This window comes from Homo sapiens, chromosome 1, assembly GCF_000001405.40.
Source record: "Homo sapiens chromosome 1, GRCh38.p14 Primary Assembly".
Classification (NCBI taxonomy): Eukaryota; Metazoa; Chordata; class Mammalia; order Primates; family Hominidae; genus Homo; species Homo sapiens.
In genome coordinates, this window is record NC_000001.11 from 225,142,730 (window position 1) to 225,166,892 (window position 24,163).

The 24,163-nt window shown below is 35.4% G+C and overlaps 1 protein-coding gene across 25 annotated transcripts in view, besides 2 other annotated features; it reads left to right on the top strand.

Moving 5' to 3' along the window:
* Positions 1-24,163, top strand: part of DNAH14 (dynein axonemal heavy chain 14) — a 469,633-nt gene that overhangs the window by 213,076 nt on the left and 232,394 nt on the right. For 22 of the 25 annotated variants that reach the window (XM_011544062.3, XM_011544067.3, XM_017000296.2 and 19 more), the window contains 7 exons: positions 1,668-1,899; positions 2,597-2,650; positions 4,375-4,520; positions 9,276-9,344; positions 9,968-10,154; positions 11,021-11,097; positions 16,585-16,756. In XM_011544062.3, coding sequence (XP_011542364.1) covers positions 1,668-1,899; positions 2,597-2,650; positions 4,375-4,520; positions 9,276-9,344; positions 9,968-10,154; positions 11,021-11,097; positions 16,585-16,756 — 937 coding nt within the window. Of the gene's footprint in view, positions 1-1,667; positions 1,900-2,596; positions 2,651-4,374; positions 4,521-9,275; positions 9,345-9,967; positions 10,155-11,018; positions 11,098-16,584; positions 16,757-24,163 lie in introns of those variants that run through there. The other 3 variants (XM_011544061.3, XM_017000299.2, XM_011544081.2) reach the window with 3 other exon arrangements.
* Positions 3,428-3,929: an enhancer, noted in NCBI's record as "H3K4me1 hESC enhancer chr1:225333859-225334360 (GRCh37/hg19 assembly coordinates)". NCBI's record gives its function as "activates a minimal SCP1, AML or CMV promoter by ChIP-STARR-seq in naive H9 embryonic stem cells {active_cell/tissue: H9 hESC(naive)}" and the evidence as "EXISTENCE:reporter gene assay evidence [ECO:0000049][PMID:30033119]".
* Positions 3,930-4,429: an enhancer, noted in NCBI's record as "H3K4me1 hESC enhancer chr1:225334361-225334860 (GRCh37/hg19 assembly coordinates)". NCBI's record gives its function as "activates a minimal SCP1, AML or CMV promoter by ChIP-STARR-seq in naive H9 embryonic stem cells {active_cell/tissue: H9 hESC(naive)}" and the evidence as "EXISTENCE:reporter gene assay evidence [ECO:0000049][PMID:30033119]".

Consider the following 24,163-nt stretch of genomic DNA (forward strand, 5'->3'; position numbering starts at 1 on the left):
CCAGTCTGGCCAACATGGTGAAAACCCATCTCTACTAAAAATAAAAATTAGCTGGCCGTGATGGTGCACACCTGTAATCCCAGTTACTCAGGAGGCTAAGGCAGGAGAATCACTTGAACCCAGGAGGTGGAGATTGCAGTGAGCTGAGATTGTGCCACTGCACTCCAGCCTGGGTGACAGAGCAAGACTCCATCTCAAATAAATAAATTAATTTAATTTTTTAAAAAAATTAATGAAATAAATTTTTTTTTCTTTCAATTCATTTGTGTACCTTGTTTCAAGCAACCTACTAAATCATTAAGACAAAAATACTTTCTAAACTGCTTTGGACCTAAAACTAACAAAAGAAACTATTAGATATTCCTTTTGGTCTAGGGTCATCATGAAAAAATTACTGAGTTACTAAGGGTGCAGTGAACTGAGAAAATTTGAGAAGCTGTGTTCTAAGGGAACACTAATGGAAAGGGAAAGGCTCTGGAAATTGATTTTCTATCAAAATAATGATTTGGCACTCTACTTGAATCATAAAACAAATACAGGTTCTTAGGATAACAAAATTTCTTCTTTAAAAAAACATTTTCTTCCACAAGTGTTATACTTTTCTCTCTCTTGTGGATATATGCTCTCTCATCTGAGACTTTTGCAAGGTAGTAGCTTATAATTTTAAATTTTTCTTTTATTTTTAATTAAGTTTATTTTTAAAATTTACTCACTTTTCCAGATTTCTTTATAATATTCCCTGTTGTTCCAGAAAGGATTTAAAAGGGCTCACAAGGATATACACACTACTACATGATAGCATATGTTGAGAGTGAGTGGAATGAGTGAATAAAGGCAAACAAAGGCAAAAACTAGTGCCTGTGTAAGAGCTTTGATGACTAAATTCTGAGAAGATATTGTACCTGCCTCCACTTGTAATTCAAAATCAAAACAGCACTAAACAATTAAAAATGTGTAGGAATGAGTTTTTGCTTGACAATGTTTTAATATTTAAAAAAAAACATAAAATTCTTTACAAAATATTGTTTGATACTTTTTCATTGATAGTGCTCAAATGTGTTTATTTTGAGAATTGAGTTAGCACTAACTGGGATATAAAATAGAGTCAAGAATTCATACCACAAAGCTACAAATAGTTCATAAATGTAACTCAAAACCTTCTAGATGTGAACATTTATGGTTAGCTACACAATTCACAGTGCTCATGATATAAATACAAATCAATTTCTACAAAGTTCAATTTGTTTTGATACATAGAACAAATAGCATTTCTCTTAAGTACACTCATAATAAGGATCCAGATTATGATAAACATCATCTTCAATCACAGTCTTATTGGAAACCATAATAAACTTCAGAGGGATGATTCTTATATAAATCCTCCATTTGGGTTGACATCACACCAAAGCAGCATGATTCAGCAAGGCCATTAGCCTCAGAGGGAAGCATGTTCACATGTTTTTATTCTTCAGTTCTACTATTTCATACCTAATATGATCAGTCATTGATGAGTTTTATATCACACTTCTCATTTGATTTTAATTTTTTAACTTCTATTTGTTTTTTTAATCAATGCTCCATTTTTAATCTTGATTCTTTTTCTGCATGTGAAAATACATAAAAATAATTTAACCAAATAATATGAACATTTAAAATTTGGCTTTCAGACATTTGCAATATAAATGGAATGAAAAACAAAAGTTGTGCTATGTGTCTCAAGGAAATGCCAGCTTTACTTATGGCTATGAGTACTTGGGCTGTACCTCAAGATTGGTTATTACGCCTCTCACAGACCGATGCTGGCTGACTCTCATGGAAGCACTACACTTGAATCTAGGAGGCTGTCCTGCCGGTCCAGCTGGTACAGGAAAAACTGAGACTGTCAAAGATCTAGCAAAAGTAAGTGGTTTCTGTATCCAGAATAAAAACTTTTTTCTTTTTCTGTCACACAAACTTTGATGTTATCTTAAATTTACACCATTCCTGCTATTAAGATGTTCATTGCATTAACAAGCACATTCATTAACTCACATATAATTAATTCATCAATGATGTTTTGAATGCCTATTGTGTGCTGGAGCTTAGAATCTCAATAAGCCAACATATGCTTTTTATTTAGTTGGAATACTACTTTACTGACTAACATGTGAATGATTAATATCATTGTGTGTGTGTGTGTGTTTGTGTGTGTATGTGTGTGTGAAAGAGAGAGAGAGAGAAAGTGAGACCGAAAGAGAGGGACAGAGAGAGACAGAAAGAGACAGAGAGAGAGAAAGACAGAGAAAAGCAGTAGTAGTTACTGATGAAAGCAAAGGATATAGTTTGTGACCTAGAATTTTTTCATAGTTTTTTATTCATAGATTTATGTAAAAACATGACCTTAATGCTCTATAAACTAATCAACTGAACTGTAACAGTATATGTACATTTATACTATTATATTGAGTTTTGTGAATCTCTAAATTTGATTTTTAATTCATCTCCATATTGCAAAGTTTTCTCAAAAGCATAAAGACATTTTATTACTCTAGCAGTTTTAACATTAGTATTTTGTGTCATAATTCAAGAAAGATACTAAAATATTTTTGTTTCCCAGTCCTTAGGCAAACATTGTGTGGTCTTCAACTGTTTTGAGGATTTGGATTATAAGGTAAACCTTAAACATATGTGTCAGGAAGAAATATTGTACACATAAAACATAAAACAATTCATTGAAGAATAAAAGAACAAGAAAAATATTTATCTGAGACAAACATCAAGTATTAACAGAACTTTAAATGCTGTTACTTCTTTTAAACTAATGGACTAGAAACCTAGAATGTAATAGAAATTTTAAACATATACGATGCTTTTATTCAGGTGAACTACTCCTTAAGACAGTGGTTTTCAAACTTTTTTCAACAGTTGGATTCTTTTCAATAAAAAAACTTACATGGAACATGAATATATAAAACAATTAAAGAGTACTGCTTTATTAACATACATTTATTTTAAGTCCTAACCCCATACATTTATTTACTGAAAAGGTAATCATTAAGACAAGATTATGATTAACACAAATATTTGAGTGTTTATATAGATAATGATTACAAGTTTGTCAGTCTTGTTTCGTTTGCACATTATCTGACATAACATTCTGAAATATGTCTCTTACAAATCTACTCAAAGTTTCAAAATACTGCAATTTGTTTTGCATGTTAAGTCCAAACATTCTACATTTTATTGTTGTCATTTTATTTGTGTTCAAAGCATATTACCTCTGAGATCCTGCATTTCCAATTTGTGCTCACTTAGTACGTTAAAAATATCAACATAAATAAGTTGATCAATTATTATTTTTAAGATACTTACCAAATAAGACTCTCTTGCCTCCTTCCTGGAAACCACTAGTGGGGCCTATGAGGGCTCCACATGAGTGAGGCCAAAAAGCCTGCTAATTAAAATAAATAATATTTAATGCAATATTTTAAAAGTCAAAATTAATGCCCCCAAACGTCCCATGAACAAAATACCAAAATTTTAAATTAAGACAAGATCTGATTCCTGCTGCTCAGTGGAAGGAACAATCTTCTACATCCTTCTCGGTCTGAGGCTCTCACTTACTCATTCCGATTCCCACTTCCTTTCCTCCTTGCCATACCTAGCAATAGAGTTCAGGCACCCCTCAACTTGCATTCAGCCCACAGAAGTTAGGCCTGTCAATATTTTTGTTTGTTTTGTTGCTTTGTTTTAGTTGCTAACATTTACAAACCAATAGATTTCAATCCCAGACTTGCAGCCTCTCACAGAACACTGCTGCACCTGGCCAGCCTGGGCCTGCACTCTGGCAAGTGGCAGAAGCCCAGCAGCAGCTGCGTGCTTTAGCTGGGCCCACTGCAGTCTTGCCTTATCTGGGCCTGTGGTTCAGTCTTTTGCATTGCCCATCAGCTGCCCGCCACTAAGCCATAAGGCATCTTTGCCTGATCCAGAAAAGGCAGCCCCCAGATTCACACACTTTACGCCCATCTGCCAGAAAGTTGTCCTGAAGACTCTGCCCCAGGGTGCAGCTGTGTGAGGGAAATGGCTGTCCAGGGAGGGATCTGGTACATCTCTGTGCAATCCGTCAGAAGCTGTGGCCCTGTCTTCACGGTCCCTGTGAGCATCAGAGTTTGCTCTGCTGAGTGGGCTTTTAGAAGCAAAAGGCAGAGTAGTTGACTTGTCTAGCATCTAAGCAGCTGCTGCTTTCAACCCTATAAAAATGCCTAGGAGGGGGAAATGCAAAAGGCCTTTGCTTGGTTTGGGTAGCATGGGGAGAACACATACAAATTAATATCCCAGTAAATTTTCTCACCATTATAATAATTTTAGTAATCAATCTCTTTTTTTTTTTAAAAGATAGTGAGAAAATTTTTCTTTGGACTAGTTCAGTCAGGAGCATGGAGTTGTTTTGATGAATTCAATCTAATTGATTTGGAAGTTCTCTCTGTCATTGCCTCACAGATCCTAACAATTAAGGCTGCAAAAGACAACTATTCTGCCAGGTATTTGTCGAATGTGTTTATACCTTTTGAATTGAAATCTGATACACACTTAATGTTTAGTTAATTATTGTTAAATATTTTCCCCAATAAGTGTTTAGGTCTTTGGGGTGTTTTTTTTTTAAAGCACATACCAAAAGGAATGGCAGTTACCTTGAATGTTTCCATTACTTGGCAAATAATGTGAATATATTTATAACTCTAACTTTCAGGCCAACTTAGAAGTACCCAAATTCTTGCCCAAGCTTTGGAACAGTCTCCTGAGCTACCAGGACACTGATGCAAATATATTTTAATTTTTTTTCAGCTTAAATTTTCATATTATCTTTTTATCTTAGAATATTGCATTTGAAGAACCCAAACAAATGCTGCTTTTTTTATTTCCACATTTTTTAAACCTTTCTTTTAAGTTCAGGGGCACATGTGCAGATTTGTTATATAGGTAAACTGGTATTATGGGGATTTGATGTACAGATTATTTAATCACCCAGGTATGAACTAGTATCCATTAGTAAATTTTTCTGATTGTCTCCCTCCTCCCACCTTCCACCCTCCAGTAGGCCCTAGTATCAGTTGTTCCTCACTATAAGTCCATGTGTTCTCATCACTTAGCTCCCACATACAAGTGAGAACATGAGGTATTTGGTTTTCTACTGCATTAATTTGCTTTGGATAATGGCTTCCAGTTCCATCCATGTTCCTGCAAAGGACATGATCTCATTCTTTTTTATGGCTGCATAGTATTCCATGGTGTATATATACCACATTTTCTTTATCCAGTCTACCATGGGTGGGCATTTGTGTTGATTCCATGTCTTTGCTATTGTGAATAATGCTGCAATGAACATACCCAGGCATGTGTCATTATGATAGAACAATTTGTATTCCTTTGGGTATATAGCCAGTAATGGGATTGCTGGGTCAAATGGTAGTTCTGTTTTTAGGTCTTTGAGGAATCGCCACACTGTCTCTCACAATAATGGAACTAATTTACACTCCCACCAACAGTGTATAAGTGTTCCTTCTTCTCTACAACCTTGTGAGTACCTGTTATTTTTTGACTTTTTAGTGATAGCCATTCTGACTGATGTGAGATAGTATCTCATTGTGGTTTTGATTTGCTTTTCTCTAATGATCAGTAATGTTGAGCTTTTTTTTTTTTTTTTTTTTTTTGAGTCGGAGTCTCACTCTGTTGCCCAGGCTGGAGTGCAATGGCACAATCTCAGCTCACTGCAGCCTCCGCCTCCCGGGTTTAAGCAATTCTCCTGCCTCAGCCTCCTGAGTAGCTGGGATTACAGGCATGTGCCAGCATGCCCGGCTAATTTTTGTATTTTTAGTAGAGATGGGGTTTCACCATGTTGGTCAGGCTGGTCTCAAACTCCTGACCTTGTGATGTGCCCTCCTTGGCCTCTCAAAGTGCTGGGATTACAGGCATGAGTCACTGTGCCCAGCCTGAGCTTTCTTTTTTGTATGCTTGTTGCCTGCATATATGTCTTCTTTTGAAAAGTGTCCCTTCATGTCCTTTGCCCACTTTTTAATAGAGTTGTTTGTTTTTGCTTGTAAATTTGTTAAAGTTGCTTATAGATTCTGGATATTAGGCCTTTGTCAGATGCATAGTTTGCAAAAATTTTCTTCCGTTCTGTGGGTTGTCTGTTTACTCTGTTGATAGTTTCTTTTGCTTTGCAGAAACTCTTTAGTTTAACTAGATACCATTTGTCAATTTTTGCTTTTGTTGCAATTGCTTTTGTCAATTGAAAGTTTTCATCATGAAATCTTGGCCCATTCCTATGTCCAAAATGGTACTGCCTAGGTTGTCTTCCAGGGTTTTTATAGTTTTGGGTTTTACATTTAAGTCTTTAATCCATCTTGAGTTGATTTTTGTATATGGTGAAAGGAAGGGGCCCAGTTTCAATCTTCTGCATCATTTGTTGAATAGGGAGTGTTTTCTCCATTGAGTTTGTCATGTTTGTCAAAGATCAGATGGTTGTATGTGTGCAGCCTTATTTTGGGGCTCTCTATTCTGTTCCATTGGTCTATGTGCCTGTTTTTTGTACCAGTACCATGCTGTTTTGATAATAACTGTAGCATTGTAATATAGTTTGAAGTTGGGTAATGTGATGCTTCCAGCCTTATTCTTTTTGGTTAGGATTGCCTTGGCTTTTCAGACTCATTTTTGTTTCATATGAATTGTAAAATAGTTTTTTTCTAATTCTGTGAATTAAAATGTCACTGGTAATTTGATAGGAACAGCATTGAATCTATAAATTGCACTGGACAGTATGGTCATTTTAGCAATATTGATTCTTCCTATCCATAAGAATGGAATGTTTTTCCATTTTCCATTTGATCAGTGTTTTGTAGTTTTCCTTAGGAGAGATCTTTCATCTCCCTGGTTAGCTGTATTCCTAGGTATTTTATTGTTTTTGTGGCAACAGTGAATGGGATTGTGTTCCTGATTTGGCTCTTGGCATGGCTGTTGTTGGTGTGTAGGAATGCTAGTGATTTTTGTGCATTGATTTTGTATCCTGAGACTTCACTGAAAGAAGCTTTTGGGCCATGATGATGGGTTTTTCTAGATATAGAATCATGGCATCTGCAAACAGGGATAGTTCGACTTCCTCTCTTCCTATTTGGATGCCCTTAATTTCTTTCTCTTGCCTGATTGCTCTGGCCAGAACTTCCAAGACTATGTTGAATAGGAGTGGTGAGAGAGGGCATACTTGTCTTGTGTCAGTTTTCAAGGGAAATGCTTCCAGTTTTTGCCCATTCAGTATGATGTTGGCTGTGAGTTTGTCATAAATGACTCATTATTTTGAGGTATGTTCCTTCAATACCTAGTTTATTGAGAATTTTTAACATGAAGGATGTTGAATTATATCAAAAGCCTTTTCTGCATCTATTGAGATTATCATTTTTTTGTCTTTAGTTTTGTTTATGTAATGAATATATTTATTGATTTGCATATATTGAACCAACCTTGCACCCCAGGCATAAAGCCTAGTTGATCGTGGTAGATAAGGTTTTTGATGTGCTGCTAGATTCGATTTGCCAGTATTTTGTTGAGGATTCTTTCACTGATGTTCATGAAGGATATTGGCCTGAAGTTTCTTCTTGTTGTTGTGTCTTTGCCAGGTTTTAGTGTTAGGATGATGCTGTTCCCATAGAGTGGGTTACAGAGGAGTCTCTCCTCCTCAATTTTTGGAATATTTTCAGTAGGAATGGTACCAGCCAGCTCTTCTTTGTATATCTGGTAGAATTTGGCTGTGAATCTGTTCGATCCTGGGCCTTTTTTGGTTGGTAGGCTATTTATTACTGATTAAATTTTGGAGTCCATTATTGGTCTGTTCAGGGCTTCAACTTCTTTCTGGTTCAGCCTTGGGAGGGTGTGTGTGTTTAGGAATTTATCCATTTCTTCCAGATTTTCTAGTTTGTGTGCCTAGAGGTGTTCATAATATTATCTGATGGTTATTTGTATTTGTTTCCACATACATTTTTTTTTTAAGGCAGACATCTCACTCTGTTGCCCAAGCTGGAGTGCAGTGGCATGATCTCGGCTTACTGCAACCTCTGCCTCCCGGGTTCAAGCAATTCTCATGCTGGTATTACAGGTGGTGCCACCACACCTGGCTAATTTTTGTATTTTTAGTAGAGGTGGGGTTTTACCATGTTGGCCAGGCTGGTCTCAAAATCTTGACCTCAGTGTGATCTGCCCGCCTCAGCCTCCTGAAGTGCTGGAATTACAGGCATGAGCCACCACACCCAGTGAGATAAAAAGCAAAGTGGGTATACTGGCCACATACCTGAAGAGCCCTCTTGTCTTATTACTCTGAATTAATGTGCTTTTATTGAAAAGCTCTGTAATAACAGTATTTATTAGTATTACTAATGTTTAGCAATAAAAGCAAAAATTTTTTCTCTTTAGGTAATTTTAATACTCATATGATTTATGGACATATAAAATTGTATCATAATCTAATATTTCTAATGCAAGCTAATGGATACTAACTTGTGGCTTTCCTCTCATGGATTTTGTTCAAACTGTTAAAGCTAGTATTACAGGACTCATAAATCTGTGGATATAGTTGGGGGTGGGGGGGTCACAGTAACATTTCACTGACTCTTCTACACCTCATCCTCTGCAAAGTTTTCCCCATTTATGTCCAGAGAGTTCCCCAGGTTTTGTCCCAATTGTTTTCCTGTTTTCACCACCCTCTTTGGTATCAGCTGTCCAAGAAATCACTGTAGGATTTCTCCCATTGTCTCTACCACTGATGCTGATTGTAAGACACTGATGTTCATGCCAAGCATTCTATCTCATAGTGGTCCCAAAGTTTTTAAACTGGGGCTAGGGACACTTGGGAGACAGGCTGTGTTCCATGCTGAAGCAGGATATCTGTGCTGTGCCCCATTCTGTGTTCTACTATATCTTCCAGGCAGAGCTCTTTTATTCCCTAAGTGTCTCCCAGGTTCCTTTTACTATGTAAGTCAACTCATTCAGCTAGGTATCTTCCAGCCTCAGGTCCCAGAAACATCTTTGGACATAATCAAATACATCTGAATCCCAGCAGGGATGACAACTTTGGCTCAGCATGAGCCTCCTATTTCTTCTTTTTTCTCTCACCATTGTTTTTTCCAGTGTGCTCTGTTTGCATTTAAATGTAACACAGCCTTAATAAAGCTTCCAAACTCACTTATAGTTTTAACATGCTTTGGACTAGAGAAAACAGTGCTAGTGATGAATACTGTAATGTCTTTTAGGTTTGTACTGGAAGGAAAAGAAATTCGTATCAATATGTCTTGTGCGGTATTTATCACCATGAATCCCAGGTAAGTATCAGTAAATCTAGTGGGAATAGACACAGACAAAAATCATTTTCTTAAATCTTATCTACAGATGGAGTTGCTTGACATTTGCATCTATCCATATATCTGTCTCCACCATCCTCTGAACACTTCCACTCCCAACACCATTTATGAACAGCTGCACTCTGCACCTGTTCATATGGATAAGGATAATCTCACATTCATTAAGCTACTGACATATTTTTACTTCATGAATACCAGAGAGAAAGGAAAAAGGGTCAGAAGTTTTTCACAAAGAGGACCCAGGCAGAAAAGCTGATGAGAGTGGCAGGAGGAATAAGACAATAGTGATTGCAGGGAGTGGAGGTTGAGCAGATTCAAAAATATCTGATTGAATGCTGTAATAGTCCAAGGAATCAGAGGGAACTAATATGAGGTCAATTGTGGGAGGAGGAACAGGAAGAAAATATGATAAACCAGGAAGCTCTGTAAGATGAAAGGTACAATAAAAACTATCTTGTAAACTAATTTTCAGATAAAGGTCACACAGAACACCAATATAATTATTTTGGGGAAAAGTATGTGATTCCTTATTTGAAAAATTGAGAAGTGGTGTTTTTATTGTTTGTTTTTCTTTTCCTCTTCAGATACGGAGGTGGAGTAGAGCTCCCAGATAACTTAAAATCTCTGTTTCGCCCAGTGGCAATGATGGTGCCCCATTATCAAATGATTGCTGAAATAATATTGTTTTCATTTGGTTTCAAATCTGCAAATTCACTCTCTGGAAAGCTAACTAACCTTTATGAATTAGCGCGCAAACAGCTCTCACAACAGGTAAATAGCTACTTTTCTCAAAATATTTAAAGGTGATTATATAAAAATAACCTTAAGTAATACTTTTCTGGATTGGTCCAGGGATGACCTGGGACTGTACCAAATAATGGAGCTAGAATTCCTATCAAAATAATGGAGCTAGAATTTCCATCAACATATAAAGTCCATATGTGAGCTTCATATAAGGCAAACTGTAAAATCAGTCAAGGTTCTAAGTCTTTCCTCCAAGATCTGGAAAGAGTGATTGAGCATTCGTTATTTTAAATTACGGACTATTTTTTTCCATACAAGGAAGTTAACATCTAGAGCGATCATTCTCAAACTTTATTGTATACCAGAATCATTTGGAGGATTTATTAAAACACAAAGTGCTGGGCCTTACTCCTGAGTTTCTAATTCTGTACTTCTGGTGTGGGGTTGGAGAATTTGTGTTTCTAACAAGTTTTAAACTGTTACTGATGCTGCTGATCTGGGTTCTACACTTTAACAATTATTGTTCTAGCATATGCCAGAGTATTTGTTGCTAATGCAAAATGGTTTGGACAGCTAACCACATTTTCTCCAAAAGTCCTCCTCTTTTAATTTTCTTTCAATTTATCTCATTCTAGTTCAGAGAAAACTTAATTCAGATACCGATATTTCTTAACACCTTTAATATTTGTTAGTCTTTAAGAGTGAGACTTTAGGAGCATCACTTTGGGAGATGAATGAGAGCATTAGCAGTATAACCAAGGGTTTTTTGGATTCATGTCACTGTTTCCCTGCAGAGCATAGATTACCTGTAATTTACCTATATACTGTGTGCATTTGTTTTCATATTTTTTCTTTAGAAACTTTAATAATTCAAATATTTTAATGTTTGATAGGATCATTATAATTTTGGCTTGAGATCTCTGAAGATAGTTTTAATAATGGCTGGAACGAAGAAACGGGAGTTTAAATGGTCAGTTGAATTTTGAATTGTTAGGTCAAAGGGAGTTATATACTGCTGGGAAAATAATTTGTAGAATTACGGGTGATGATGCCAAGTTAAAACAGGGAGCCCCGCAGACTGTCATAGTAAAGTAAGGCAGAGATTATTTAAGAATATGAAAGAAGAGTAAGAAAAAATGCACAAAATCGGAGTACTTTTCCCCAATAGAGAGCCTATTCTTTAAAAAAAAGTGTTTTACATAATAAAAGATATAATGGAAAAAAAGACCTCATTTAGAAGAATAATAACTCAATGAGAAATGTAAAGACTATATGAATATACCTATGTGACAGATGTGTAAAACTCAAATGAGGAAAACTTAAAACAGGATTGAAAGAAATGAAAATGTATTTAAATGAAATAATATACCACATTAATAAAATCATAACATCTTAAAGGACTTAACATCATAATGATTTAAATACTCTAAACATTAATTTACGAATGGAAATGCAATCTCAGTAAAATATTAAAAGGATATTTAGTTTGTTAATTTGCTTATTTTTGGGCAAGCTGGTCCTAAAGTTCACATGGAAAAATGAGTCTAGCTAGAAAAATATTAAAAAGCAAGAGTAATGAAGGGGAGATATCCCTTTATGTATTAAGACATATAACAAAGCTTCAATAATTAAAACACTGTGGTACTGGCTCATGAGTAGAAAAGCAAACCATTGGAACAGTATAGAAAATAGAACTATATGCTTTGGGCATTTATTATATCAAAAATCCATGGGGAAGAATAGACTTTTTAATGAATGCTTTTGGGAAAACTAAACAGCCATCAGGATAAAGATCAAGTTGCAACCATTGTCCACATCATTTACTAGGATAAACTCTAAAAGGATAAAATAATTTAAATGTAAAAAATTTAAATGTACTTGAAGAAACATATGTCCTTTTTTCTTGGAGTACGGAAGATCTTTAAAACTAAGACTCTAAATCTAGAAGCCACAAAAAAAAAGATTTATAAATGGTCAAAAATACATTTTTTGAAGTCAAAAGACAATTGATAAACTAGGGAAAAAATTGTAACTCATATTACACATAGCTTATCCTCTTAATATATAAAGATTTTCTAGACATTTGGGGAAAAAATCAACAGGAAAATGGGCAAAGGACATCAACAGATAGTTCTTGGAAAAAGAAATATGAAAGTGCCTTAAATATATGAAAATACACTCAACCCCACACGTAATGAAAGAATGCAAATTAAAATGACACTGAAATTCTGTTTTTCACTTAACAGATGGACAAAAATATAAAGTTGGGCAAAACCTTGGTGAAACTATAGGGAAGCAGACATGCTTTTTCCTTTCTGGGTAGAAAGGAACAAGATATACCTTTTCATATTGGTATGATTGGGGCTATATTCATGTACTGCCTATTTAAAATTGAAAAAAAGATGAATATGTTGCAAAAGGATCTATCAACATGATAACTGTTTCCCTTTTAAAACATAATAATATGGATTGCTGACAGATACATACACATGTAATAAGTATAAAAAGGGAGCAAAGGATAGGGGATAAAGCTATAATTATTTATTTCTTAAAAATAAAAGAACTGAGGCATATATTGCAAAATGGCCTGTATAATATTGATGGCATGTAAATAGGCGTCTGTTGTTAAATGTTTTATGATTTTTTAACAAAGATAAATAGCACTCATATATGAAACCCAAGTATAGCTCCCTGATATCCTCAAGTCCTCTGGATTTTATAGTCCTGTAGTCACCTAGTTCTTTACGTAAGTATTTCAGTGAAAGTAGTACTGCTCTCCATTCAAAGCACTTGATTTTCTTCAAATGACAGGAAATCTAAAGTTTGCATGGGCACCCTTCAATTAGAGTTTCCATTTCCAGTATACAGGAAACTGTCTCCTGCCACTGAAAGCAGCTCCCTTCTCTCTAGTCTGTGCTGCCCTAAATGTGACAGCCCCATTTCTTTGATTCCTTTAAAGCACCACAGAAGCCATGTGATTGACTTCTGTGGTGCTTTATTTTAAGAGGATGAAGATGACTGTATTTTAAGAGGGTTGATGAATTTTTTGTTATCAGAGTAAAGCACAGTGAACAACCAAAAAATTAATATTAGACAATTTTGCTTTTTAAAAGTTTCTTTGACCTTCGTGACACCAAAATAATAATTATTGTTCTTTCCTGTTTCCTCTTCCCGTCCCTGTCCCTTCCTTTCCTTCTATCCCACCCTATTCTTCCTAAGGCCTCTGACCTTATTTCTTAGCCACCCAAGAATACTACAGATTTGTCTCATTTCCCTGGCATAGTAATTCATCCCTCCCTTTTTTTTCTACTTTCTCTTTATAAATCATGTTGGAAGAACCTAATGTTAATTCTCAAATATACTTTCAGGGTGTTTAAATTAAAATGGAAAGCAGTGTATTAATTTCCTTGGGCTGCCTTATAAAGTTATGACAAAGTTGTGTCTTAAAAAAACAGAAATGTATTTCCTCACAGGACCTGCGGCCAGAAGTCTGACATCCAGGTTGTGGGCAGGGTTGCTTACTCTCCAGAGACTCTTGGGCAGATTCCATTTCTTGCCTCCTCCAGCTTCTGGTGGTTGCCTGCATTTCCTGGCTTACGACCACAGCACTCTAATCTGTTATTGTTCCGTCAAATTACAGGAAATGTAACATTTTCAAATAGTCACTAAAGTAACATAACCTCAGCTCTAGTCAATCAGTGTATGGCAGTCACTTGGACACAATGACTCAAAGGTAGACACACTGTCACATCACCTACTCCTCTGTGTGTCCCTGCATCTCTCTGTCTCTTATTAGGATACATGTGATTTTATTTACATCTGGATACTCTAGGATAAACTCCTCTTAAAATTCTTTTTTTTTTTTTTTTTTTTTTTGAGACGGAGTCTCGCTCTGTCGCCCAGGCTGGAGTGCAGTGGCGGGATCTCGGCTCACTGCAAGCTCCGCCTCCCGGGTTCACGCCATTCTCCTGCCTCAGCCTCCCAAGTAGCTGGGACTACAGGCGCCCGCCACTACGCCCGGCTAATTTTTTTGTATTTTTAGTAGAGACGGGGTTTCACCGTTTTAGCCGGGATGGTCTCGATCTCTTGACCTCGTGATCCGCCCGCCTCGGCCTCCCGAAGTGCTGGGATTACAGGCGTGAGCCACCGCGCCCGGCCTTAAAATTCTTAATCACCTCTTTTGCCATATTAAATAATATTCAGATTCTGGGGATTAAAAAGTGAATATGTCTTTGTAGGGGGCATTTTTTTTCTTTTAAGGGAAAAAGGCAGTTTTCTCCCTCTTTCCTTTAAAATAATTTTCCAAATCTTTTTGTTTAGAAAACAAACTAATTATCCAACAGCTGAAGTCCTAGGACCCTTGTGGTAGGAAAGATTTTCTTGGCAACATCTAGAGAATTAACATCTCTCCAAGTATACACTTAAAAGATTTATAGTCCTTAACACAATATTGGGCCACAAAGTGGGTCTCAACTAATTCCAAAAAAGTGGTATGATGAAGACAATCATAATGGGTACAACAAGGTTACATTAGCTATCTTACGCTTAAATTTTAGTTAGATGTTGACATTAATCTAAAGCTTTCATTATTTATTCTTAAATTATGACAGATAGACCCATTGGTAATTTCGCATGCCATTTCCAAAATTACTCTTTTGTAATATTTTAATGAAGTGTTACCTTTGTCCAATAACAGAATATTGTAACAATATTATAATATTTTATTTAAGCTATTTTCTCTCCATATCTATATTTAACACTTGCCCTACTACCAGACATATTGGTCATCCCTGATTTTTTTCATTTTCCTTTAAGATAAAGCAAGATCTGTCTTGAAAAAAATATTAAAAGGCCATTGTCATTCCCTAGGACCCCAAAAATAAAGTCTGGAACCCTTTTTTGCTCTGATGTGGCCCCCTCCCTTTGACTTCAAGTGGACTCTTGCCCTCTCTTTGCCAAAATACATTCAGAAGAAAGACTCAGCGAGGTATTCTCAGGGAAATGTAAATGACTAAAGTCAATTCCAACCCGCTATAACTCTCCCATTGTAATAATGGAGTGGTTATAGGAATACAATGAGTACAAAATCACAGATAGGAGGAATTTTTTCAGTTGTATTGCAGTTTAAGGTGACTATATATAGTTAACAGTATTGTATATTTCAAAATAACCTGAAGAGAAGATTTTGAATATTCTCCTGACAAAGAAATGATAAATGTTTGGACACCTTTGCAGGAAACAGTTTTCTTCCTTTCTATCTCTAATATGGTATCATAGCATGTGTAGTTACTTTTTTTTCTTTTGATTACATGTTTAATATATACAATATATACTGTAGTGTTTAGTATATGAAATATTGTTATTATAGAGTAACATATGTAGTATAACTTATATTAGTATGCTTTTGTTAAAATTAACAGAAAACTCAATTTGGCTTAAATAGTAGAGGGAACTGTTGTTTTATCCAATCAGAAAATCCAGAGATGGGGCAGGGTGTGATTGCTTTGATTAAGGTTTCAGTTTAATTTGTCTGAGATATTCTCAGTACTGCAGTCCTCCATACACTGGCTTGATTTCAGGCTGGCTTCATTTTTGGTGGCAGGACACCTTCTAATAATAACTGGGGCTGTCCATATTACTGAACTAAAGGCCTGAACTTTACTCGAGTGGACTCGTCGCTTGTCTACCCTTGAGTCACCGTGTCCAAGTGACTGCCATACACTGATTGACTAGAGCTGAGGTTATGTTACTTTAGTGAATATTTGTTATGCCATATACTTGATTTTCCAAACTCTCTTGTAACTGTGGCTTTGACACACAACCTTGGCAAGTCAGACACAGCTGCATTAGAATCTGAACCTGAATCTAGTGAAAAAAGAATATTCACAGAGTCCATTTTGCTGAGGGTGACAGCAGTGGCAGTAGCTATAGCCATTTACCAGAAATAGCAGAGGCAGTGAGCAGTTCCAGTGCCAGCATCAGTCATGTATTGGTATGACAGTCACTGCTATCTGGATCCATTGATGATGGCAGACATGTTTTCATAAGACCAGTTCTGTAGATGATTTTGGCCATTGTTCCCAGCTGGATAGCTTGCAAGCCTAGTTCTGGCCCTCCTAGAGATTTTTAAATAAATCAGTATGTTATTTTTTATTTTACATTAGCCTAAATTCATTTCTTTTATTTGCAGCTAAAAACCTTTACTGATACAGTACCTTTCTCTGATTCAATGTCTGGGGATTGGTGTTGCTCTTATTGTTCTAGACCAGTCAGAGCCTATTTCTGGAGCTGGGGATCTGATTAATTCCACCCAAACCATATGGCTGCTATCCAGTGAGAGAGAGGAGGGAAGGACATTGGGATAGCCACCCCTAAAACAGAATGTTAATGGTCTTCAGTGTCTGCAGAGCAGACTCCCTAATTTGTTCTCTGTGTTTGTTTTCTTCTACCATTGAAGTGATACCAGTGACAGTCTTTCTGAAGCAGATGAAACCTTGATTGTTATCGAGGCTATAAGAGAAGCTAGTTTGCCAAAATGTCCTCCTGAAGATGTCCCACTTTTTGAAAATATTATAGGAGATATTTTTCCAGAAGTGACAGTTTTGAAAGTAAATCAACTTGCCTTGGAGGTAAAAAGACCTTTGAAAATCATCACCAATTATTTGGATGTGGAATATCAATTAAGAAACTAGATGTGGATTAAAAATATTACAGTTCTTCCTAAATTCTTTATTCATGTTATAATTGAGGGGATAAAAATACTTGGAGATATATAGTGCCCCTTGGGGAAAAAAAGAGCTTTCAGTATATTATGTCCTAATGGAAATAAGAATGAACCATGTACCTTTAGGCAAGGATGATCATTATATATTTTGTTTCTCAATTTTTTCATCTTTTGAAATGAGGATAATAGTGTCTGTTCTTCCCACTTTGAAAGGGTGCCTAGAGAATCAAATTAGATCAGCATTATGAAAAAACTTAAATTGTAAATATTCTGTAATTATTAAAATTACATATTATAATGACAAAGTCCTTTATTGTTTCTCTTATATCTATAGCCTCACAGTCATTGCCTTAATCTAGGTAAGAACTCAATGTCTCTTGTTAATATTTTTACATAGCTTCCTACCACACCCTGCATTCCAGTATTTTCCCATATGGCCACCAGAGTTGTTTTCCTAAAATATACATTTGACCACGTTAGCAAAGCAACTGTTGGCTTAATGTTGTCTGCAGTACAAAATTGAAATTAAGTATTTTAACATATAATGCCCTTCACAATCTGGCTGGACAGGTTGTCTTTTCAATATATCCTGTTCTTCCTTCCTCTGTCTCTTCCTTTCTTCCCTGTTCTTTCTACCTTGAGCTTCTGTTCTCTGACTTTTCCAGGATTTTATCAGGTGTCAGGCCATTAAACATGTTGATTCCTTTCCCTGAAATCCAACCTGTCTTCAAAAAAATACTTTTAAAATTTATTTAGAAAACAAACCACTTCATAATTATTTGTTCTTTAAATATAACTAATAGGCTATGTACATAACTTTATACACAACAAGCACAGAATTCATATTATTTCTGAGCACACATGAAAAACTTACACACACAGAAAGACCATTTATTAGGTGATGTAGGAAAGTTTGAAAATCTCCCTTGAAAACCATCTGGACCAGGAGTTATGAGAGGATGGCTCTTTCATGGTTCTAATCTGTGAAATTAAATCTAAAATTTATGAATTTAAAATTTATATCTCTTCTAGTATCAATTTTGTTAAACAAGATAGATACTCCCATTTCATTCAAGTTTTAAAATATAGAGTTCAACAAACCACTATCTTAAGATTCTTTCAGTTTCATGTTTCTGAGATTATTTGCTCAGTCATTTCTTATTTTCCTAATTTGTGTCTTCTTCCTTGATTGCATTGTCTGTTTATCTGATATATTATTTTTTTCTCAAAAAACTAGCCTTCTTTCTGTTCACTTAATATATCTTTTTCTGTTTCCAAACTCTTTGGTATCTGTTTTAAACTTTTAAAATATCCTTGTTCTTCTGGGTTTTGTTTCTATTCTGTTTCCAGCTTTTTTAGTAAGAAGTCTAATTCATTTGTTTTCTTCTTCCTTTTACTAATATAAGCTTATAAGATTTTCAAATTCCCTCTAAGTGCTGCTTTAGTTATATATACTGTAAGTTCAGATATGTAGGAATTTCATAGTCATTTTCATATTCGTATTCATCCTGTTGTGATGTCAAATACTAGGTCTTATTCATTCTATTTTTTTGTGCACATTAACCATCCCCACTTTCCTCCCACTCCCCCACTACCCTGCCCAGCCTCTGGTAACCGTCCTTCTACTCTGTGTCTCCGTAAGTTTAATTGTTTTTATGTTTAGGTTGCACAGATAAGTGAGAGCATGCAATGTTTGTGTTTCTGTGCCTGGCTTATTTCACTTAACATAATGACCGGTTCCATCTATGTTGTTGCAAATGACAGGATCTCATTGTTTTGTATGGGTGAATAGTGTTTTTGTGTGTAAGTACCACATTTTCTTTATCCAGTCATTTGTTGATGAACACTTCTGTTGCTTCCAAATCTTGGCTATTGTGAACAGTACTGCAGCAAACATGCAGATATGTCTTCGATATCTGATTTTCTTTCTTTGGGGTGTATACCCAGCAGTAGGATTGCTGGATAATATGGTAGCTCTGTTTTTAGTTTTTTGACCAACCTCCAAATTGTTCTCCATAGTGGTTGTACTAATTTACATTTTCAACCACAATGTATGAGTGTTCCCTTTTCTCCACATCCTCACCAGCATTTGTTATTGCCTCTCTTTGGATATAAGCCATCTAACTGGGGTGAGATGATATCTCATTGTAGTTTGATTTGTATTTCTCTGATGATCAATAATTTTGAGCACCTTTTCATTACCCATTTGCCATTTCTAAGTCTTCTTTTGAGGAATGTCTATTCAAATCTTTTGTCCACTTTTTATTGGATTATTAGATTTGCTCCTATAGAATTGTTTGAGCTCCTTATATATTCTGGTTACTAATTCCATGTCAGATGGGTAGTTTGTAAATATTTTCTCCCATTCTGTGGGTTGTCTCTTCACTTTGTTGATTGCATCCTTTGCTGTGCAGAAGCTTTTTAACTTCATGCGATTCCATTTACCCATTTTTGCTTTGGTTGCCTGTGCTTGTGGGGTATTACTCAAGAAATTTTTGCCCAGACCAATGTCCTAGACATTTTCCCCAATGTTTTCTTGTTAATAGTTTCATAATTTGAGGTCTTAGATTTAAGCCTTTAATCCATTTTTATTTGATTTTTATGTATGACAAGAGATAGGGGTCTAGTTTCATTCTTCTGCATATGGATATCCAGTTTTCCCAGCACCATTTATTGAAGTACGTTCCTGACACCTTTGTTGAAAATAAGTTCACCACAGGTGTGTGTATTTGTTTCTGGGTTTTCTGTTTTGTTCCGTTCGTCTGTATGGATATTGGTCTGTGTGTCTATTTTCTGGTCTTTTCCATTGGTCTGTGTGTCTATTTCTCTGCCAAGACCATTCTATTTGGGTTGCTATAGCTCTGAGGTATAATTTGAAGTCAGGTAATGTGATTCCTCCAGTTTGTTCTTTTTGTTCAGGATAGCTTTGGCTATTCTGGGTTGTTTGTGATACCATGTAAATTTTAGAATTGTTTTTTCTATTTCTGTGAAGAATGTCATTGGTATTTTGATAGGACTGCATTGAATCTGTAGATTGTTTTGGGTAATATGAACATTTTAACAATATTGATTCTTGGAATCCATGAACATGGAATAGCTTTCCATTTTTTGTTGTCTTCTTCAATTTCAGTGTTTTATAGTTTTCATTATAGAGATCTTTCACTTCTTGAGTTAATTCCTAGGTATTTAATTTTATGTGTAGCTACTATAAATGGGATTACTTTTATTTCTTTTTCAGGTCGTTCTCTGTTGGCATATAGAAATGCTACTGATTGGCCAGGCGTGGTGGCTCACACCTGTAATCCCAGCACTTTGGGAGGCCAAGCCAAATGGATCACTTGAGGTCAGGAGTTCGAGACAAGCCTGGTCAACATGGTGAAACCTTGTCTATACTAAAAATACAAAAAATTAGCGGGGCGTGGTGGCACATGCCTGTAATCCCAGCTACTGGGGAGGATGAGGTGGGAGAATCGCTTGAACCTGGGAGACAGAGGTTGCAGTGAGCCAAGATTGTGCCACTGCACTCTAGCCTGGGAGACAGCATAAGACCCTATCTCAAAAAAAAAAAAAAAAAAAAAAAAAGGAAAAAGAAATGCTACTGATTTTTTATTTTTGTGTGTTGCTTTTGTATCCTGCAACCTTACCGAATTTGTTTATCAGTTCCAATTGTTTTTTGGTAGCGTCTCCAAGTTTTTCCAAATATAAGATCATATCATCTGCAAGCAATGATAATTTGACTTCTTCCTTTCCAGTTTGGATGCCCTTTATTTCTTTCTCTTGTCTGATTGCTCCAGCTAAGACTTCCAGTGCTATGTTGAATAACAGTGGTGAAAATGGGCACACTTGTTGTGTGCCAGATCTCAGAGAAAAGGCTTTCTGTTTTTCCCAATTTAGTGTGATACTAGCTGTGGGTCTGTCATGTGGTTTTATTGTGTTGAGATATGTTCCTTCTATACACAGTTATTTGAGGATTTTTATCCAGAAGGATGATGAATTTTATCAAGTGCATTTTCAGCATCAATTGAAATGATTATATGGTTTTTGTCCTTCATTCTTTTGACGTCATGTATCCCATTGATTGATTTGTAATATGTTGAACTATTTTTGTATCCCTGGGATAAATCTGACTTGGTCATAATGAATAATTTTTAAATGTTTTGTTGAATTTGGTTTGCTAGTATTTCATTGAGAATTTTCATGTCAATGTCCATCTGGAATATTGGCCTATAGTCTTCTTTTTTTGATGTGTCTTTGTCTGGTTTGGGTATCAGGATAACACTGGCCTTGTGGAATTAGTTTGGAAGTATTACCTCCTCCTCTATATCCTGCAATTTATATATTTAGCCTTTTGCATGTATCAGGGTTTCCTATATTACCTAATAAATGGTCTTTTTTTAGTGTTTAATGTATGCTAAAAAATAATATGTTCTGTGCCTATTGGGTATAAAGTTATAAACAAGTATATATAGGCTATTAATTGTATTTTTCAGAGATTTGATGTCTCTAATTCTTTATTTATCCATCTGTTTCTGCAGGAGGTATGTTAAGATTTTAACTAAATCACTGAGATAGCTATTTCTTCTGCACATCTGTCAGTTGTTGTTGTTGTATATACTTTAAAGTTGTAAGTTATATATGTATTCCTATCTTCTCACTCTTTTATCAGCCTCCTATATCCCTCTTTGGCCCACTGGTGATTTCTTGTCTTAATATCTATTCAGTCAGATAATAAAATTTTATCCAATTTTTTGATGCTAGGTTTATCTTCAAAAGTTCTTTTTCCATCCTTTTGTTTTTCAAACTTTCTATATCTTTGTTTGAACTGTCTATCTTATAGGACATATATTGATGGCCTTTGTTTTCTTATAATCAAATCTGTGATTATCTGTCCTGTATTTACTGATTTTTAACTTTTTCTATACAATGTATCCTGTTGTCTTAAGATATATTACTGTTATTATTGAATTTATTTTTGCCTCAGTATTTTCTCTCTTTTCCTGCTCACTATGGGGTAGATCGAGTTTTCTTCTTTGTTTGTTATATTTATTCTCTTTTAGCTGAAGACTGACATTCATGCCTCTTTTAGCTGATGCCTCTTTTAGCTGAAGACTGACATTCATCATTATTTGCCCCTAGGATCAAAATGTTTTCATATCTATATTTGTCCCTTTCAAGATAAGTACTTTAGTACACTCTTTGGTCTTCCCCACACTTCCACTCTCATTATGTTGATGCTATGTAGAATTATAATTCCTGGTTGTTATAGAAATGTTTTATCTCTCTTTTTTCCTTGGACTTCTGCACACTCCTGCTTGTGCTCTCTCTCTCTCTTTTAGAAAATAGTAAACTCATAAGAAATTGTTTCAAACTTACTTTTTATATCTATTATAGGCTTATCTTCAATTTATTCCTCTGTTTGAGTACTTCTTCCAAGAGAGTTCTCAGAGTAGGTTTTTGTGTAGCAAACCTTCTGAGAACTTTAATATTTGAGACTGTTTTTGATATACCCTCATATCTGAATGGCAAATTCATTATAAAATTCTAACTTTAAAGTTATTTTCCTTTAATATATTAAAATCTCTAATTCTTTAAAAATATTATTCCATTTTCCTGTTGCTCCAGGGTCACTCTGAAGAAGGTCAATGTCACTTCAATATTTATTATTTTATAGTGTATCTACTCTTTCTCTTCGTATGCCCTTAAAATTTTCACTTTGCCTTTAATGTTCATAATATCACTATAAATTCTCTAGTTGTGAGTTTGGTACTCTTTTAGCCCTTTTAATATATACTCTTTTATTTTTAGTTCTCTAAATTAACAGGAGTCTTAAACTGTGAGATCCTTTGTTTCACATGATTGAATGAGTTGGACTTTTCTGTTTCAAGAGTTTGCAGCATCCAAGCTCCAATAAAACTAAGCTTAGTTATTTTCTTAGTACTTACATGTGTTCTGGATTTTATAGATTTTGTTTTTTTTTTTTACTTGTTTGTTTGGTTGGTTGGTTGGTTGGTTGGTTGGTTTTTGAGACAGGGTTTCAGTCTGTCACCCAGGCTTGAGTGCAGTGACCTGTTCTCATCTCACTGCAGCCTCGACCTCGGGCTCAAGCAATCCTCCTGCCTCAGTCCCCCAAGTAGCTAGGACTACAGGCACCCACCACCATTCCCAGCTAATTTTTTTTATTTTTTGTAGAGACAAGGTTTTGCCGTGTTGCTCAGGCTGATCTCGAACTCCTGGGCTCAAGCCGTCCGTCTGCCTCAGCCTCCCAAAGTGCTGGGGTTACAGTAGTGAGACACCGCGCATGGCCTCATATTTTTTTATTTTAATGAAAATGCGATTTGATGTTTTTTTCCTTGTTGCTCTGTGAGATTTTCAGAAGTACAATAGATACTTGTCTTTAAACTGATGCCCATATTTTGAAGATTTTGATTTATATTTATATTTTGAGAATTTTCATTTTTTTTTAAGAAAATAAAAATATCAGTTGGCAAGTTTTGCTTTCTCTCCCTTTTATAAGTATTCTTGCATCTCTCTCTGGCAGGGCCTACAAACTTTCCGCTCTTCTCCAGTTGTAAGTTTTGGGTGCCTCTTGTGCTAGTTTTAACATTTTTCAAGTATTTCCACATGCCCATCAATGGTTTTACTTTTGAGCCTTCTTATATATTCATCTTTTCATCAGCTTTACAAGTCAGTATATGTGGCAGTCTGAGCTTATGGAAAAGTTTTCTATATAAACACACCAGTTTATTCAGCTACCCCATTTGTATTATACCCACATTTGTATAATTTTTACATTAATAACTATGCCAGCTGTCAACTGTTTAATAAATTGTTACTCACCAAATTGTAATATATGATTAATAGAAATATAGAAATATCACAAAGATCGTAATTTAAAATTATGATGGTTTTAATATTAAATTTGGAGTGATCCAATTTTTTATTTAATGTTGCATTTTTGATGGCTTACACAGTGACCAGCCATGTGTAACATACCCACATAGGAATATATCTTATTTAAAAATATTCTGTAGTTGTGCTATTTATACTATTTGCTCACTTGAGATACAAGAATCTGAATCACATTTAATAGGCAATTGTGATCTGTCTGACTTATTTACATATCTGTCTCTAACACATCCAAAGTGTGTGTCATTATCGCCAAGTAACTAAAAGATTAACTGAGAATTGTTGAAACCGCATCATTGAATAAGAACTACATATAGTTTGCCATCCAGCTGATTCTAAGGAACATCATATACAGCCACGAATATTTTATAGTAGGATTATGATTTTATTTCAAAACATTCCAAAG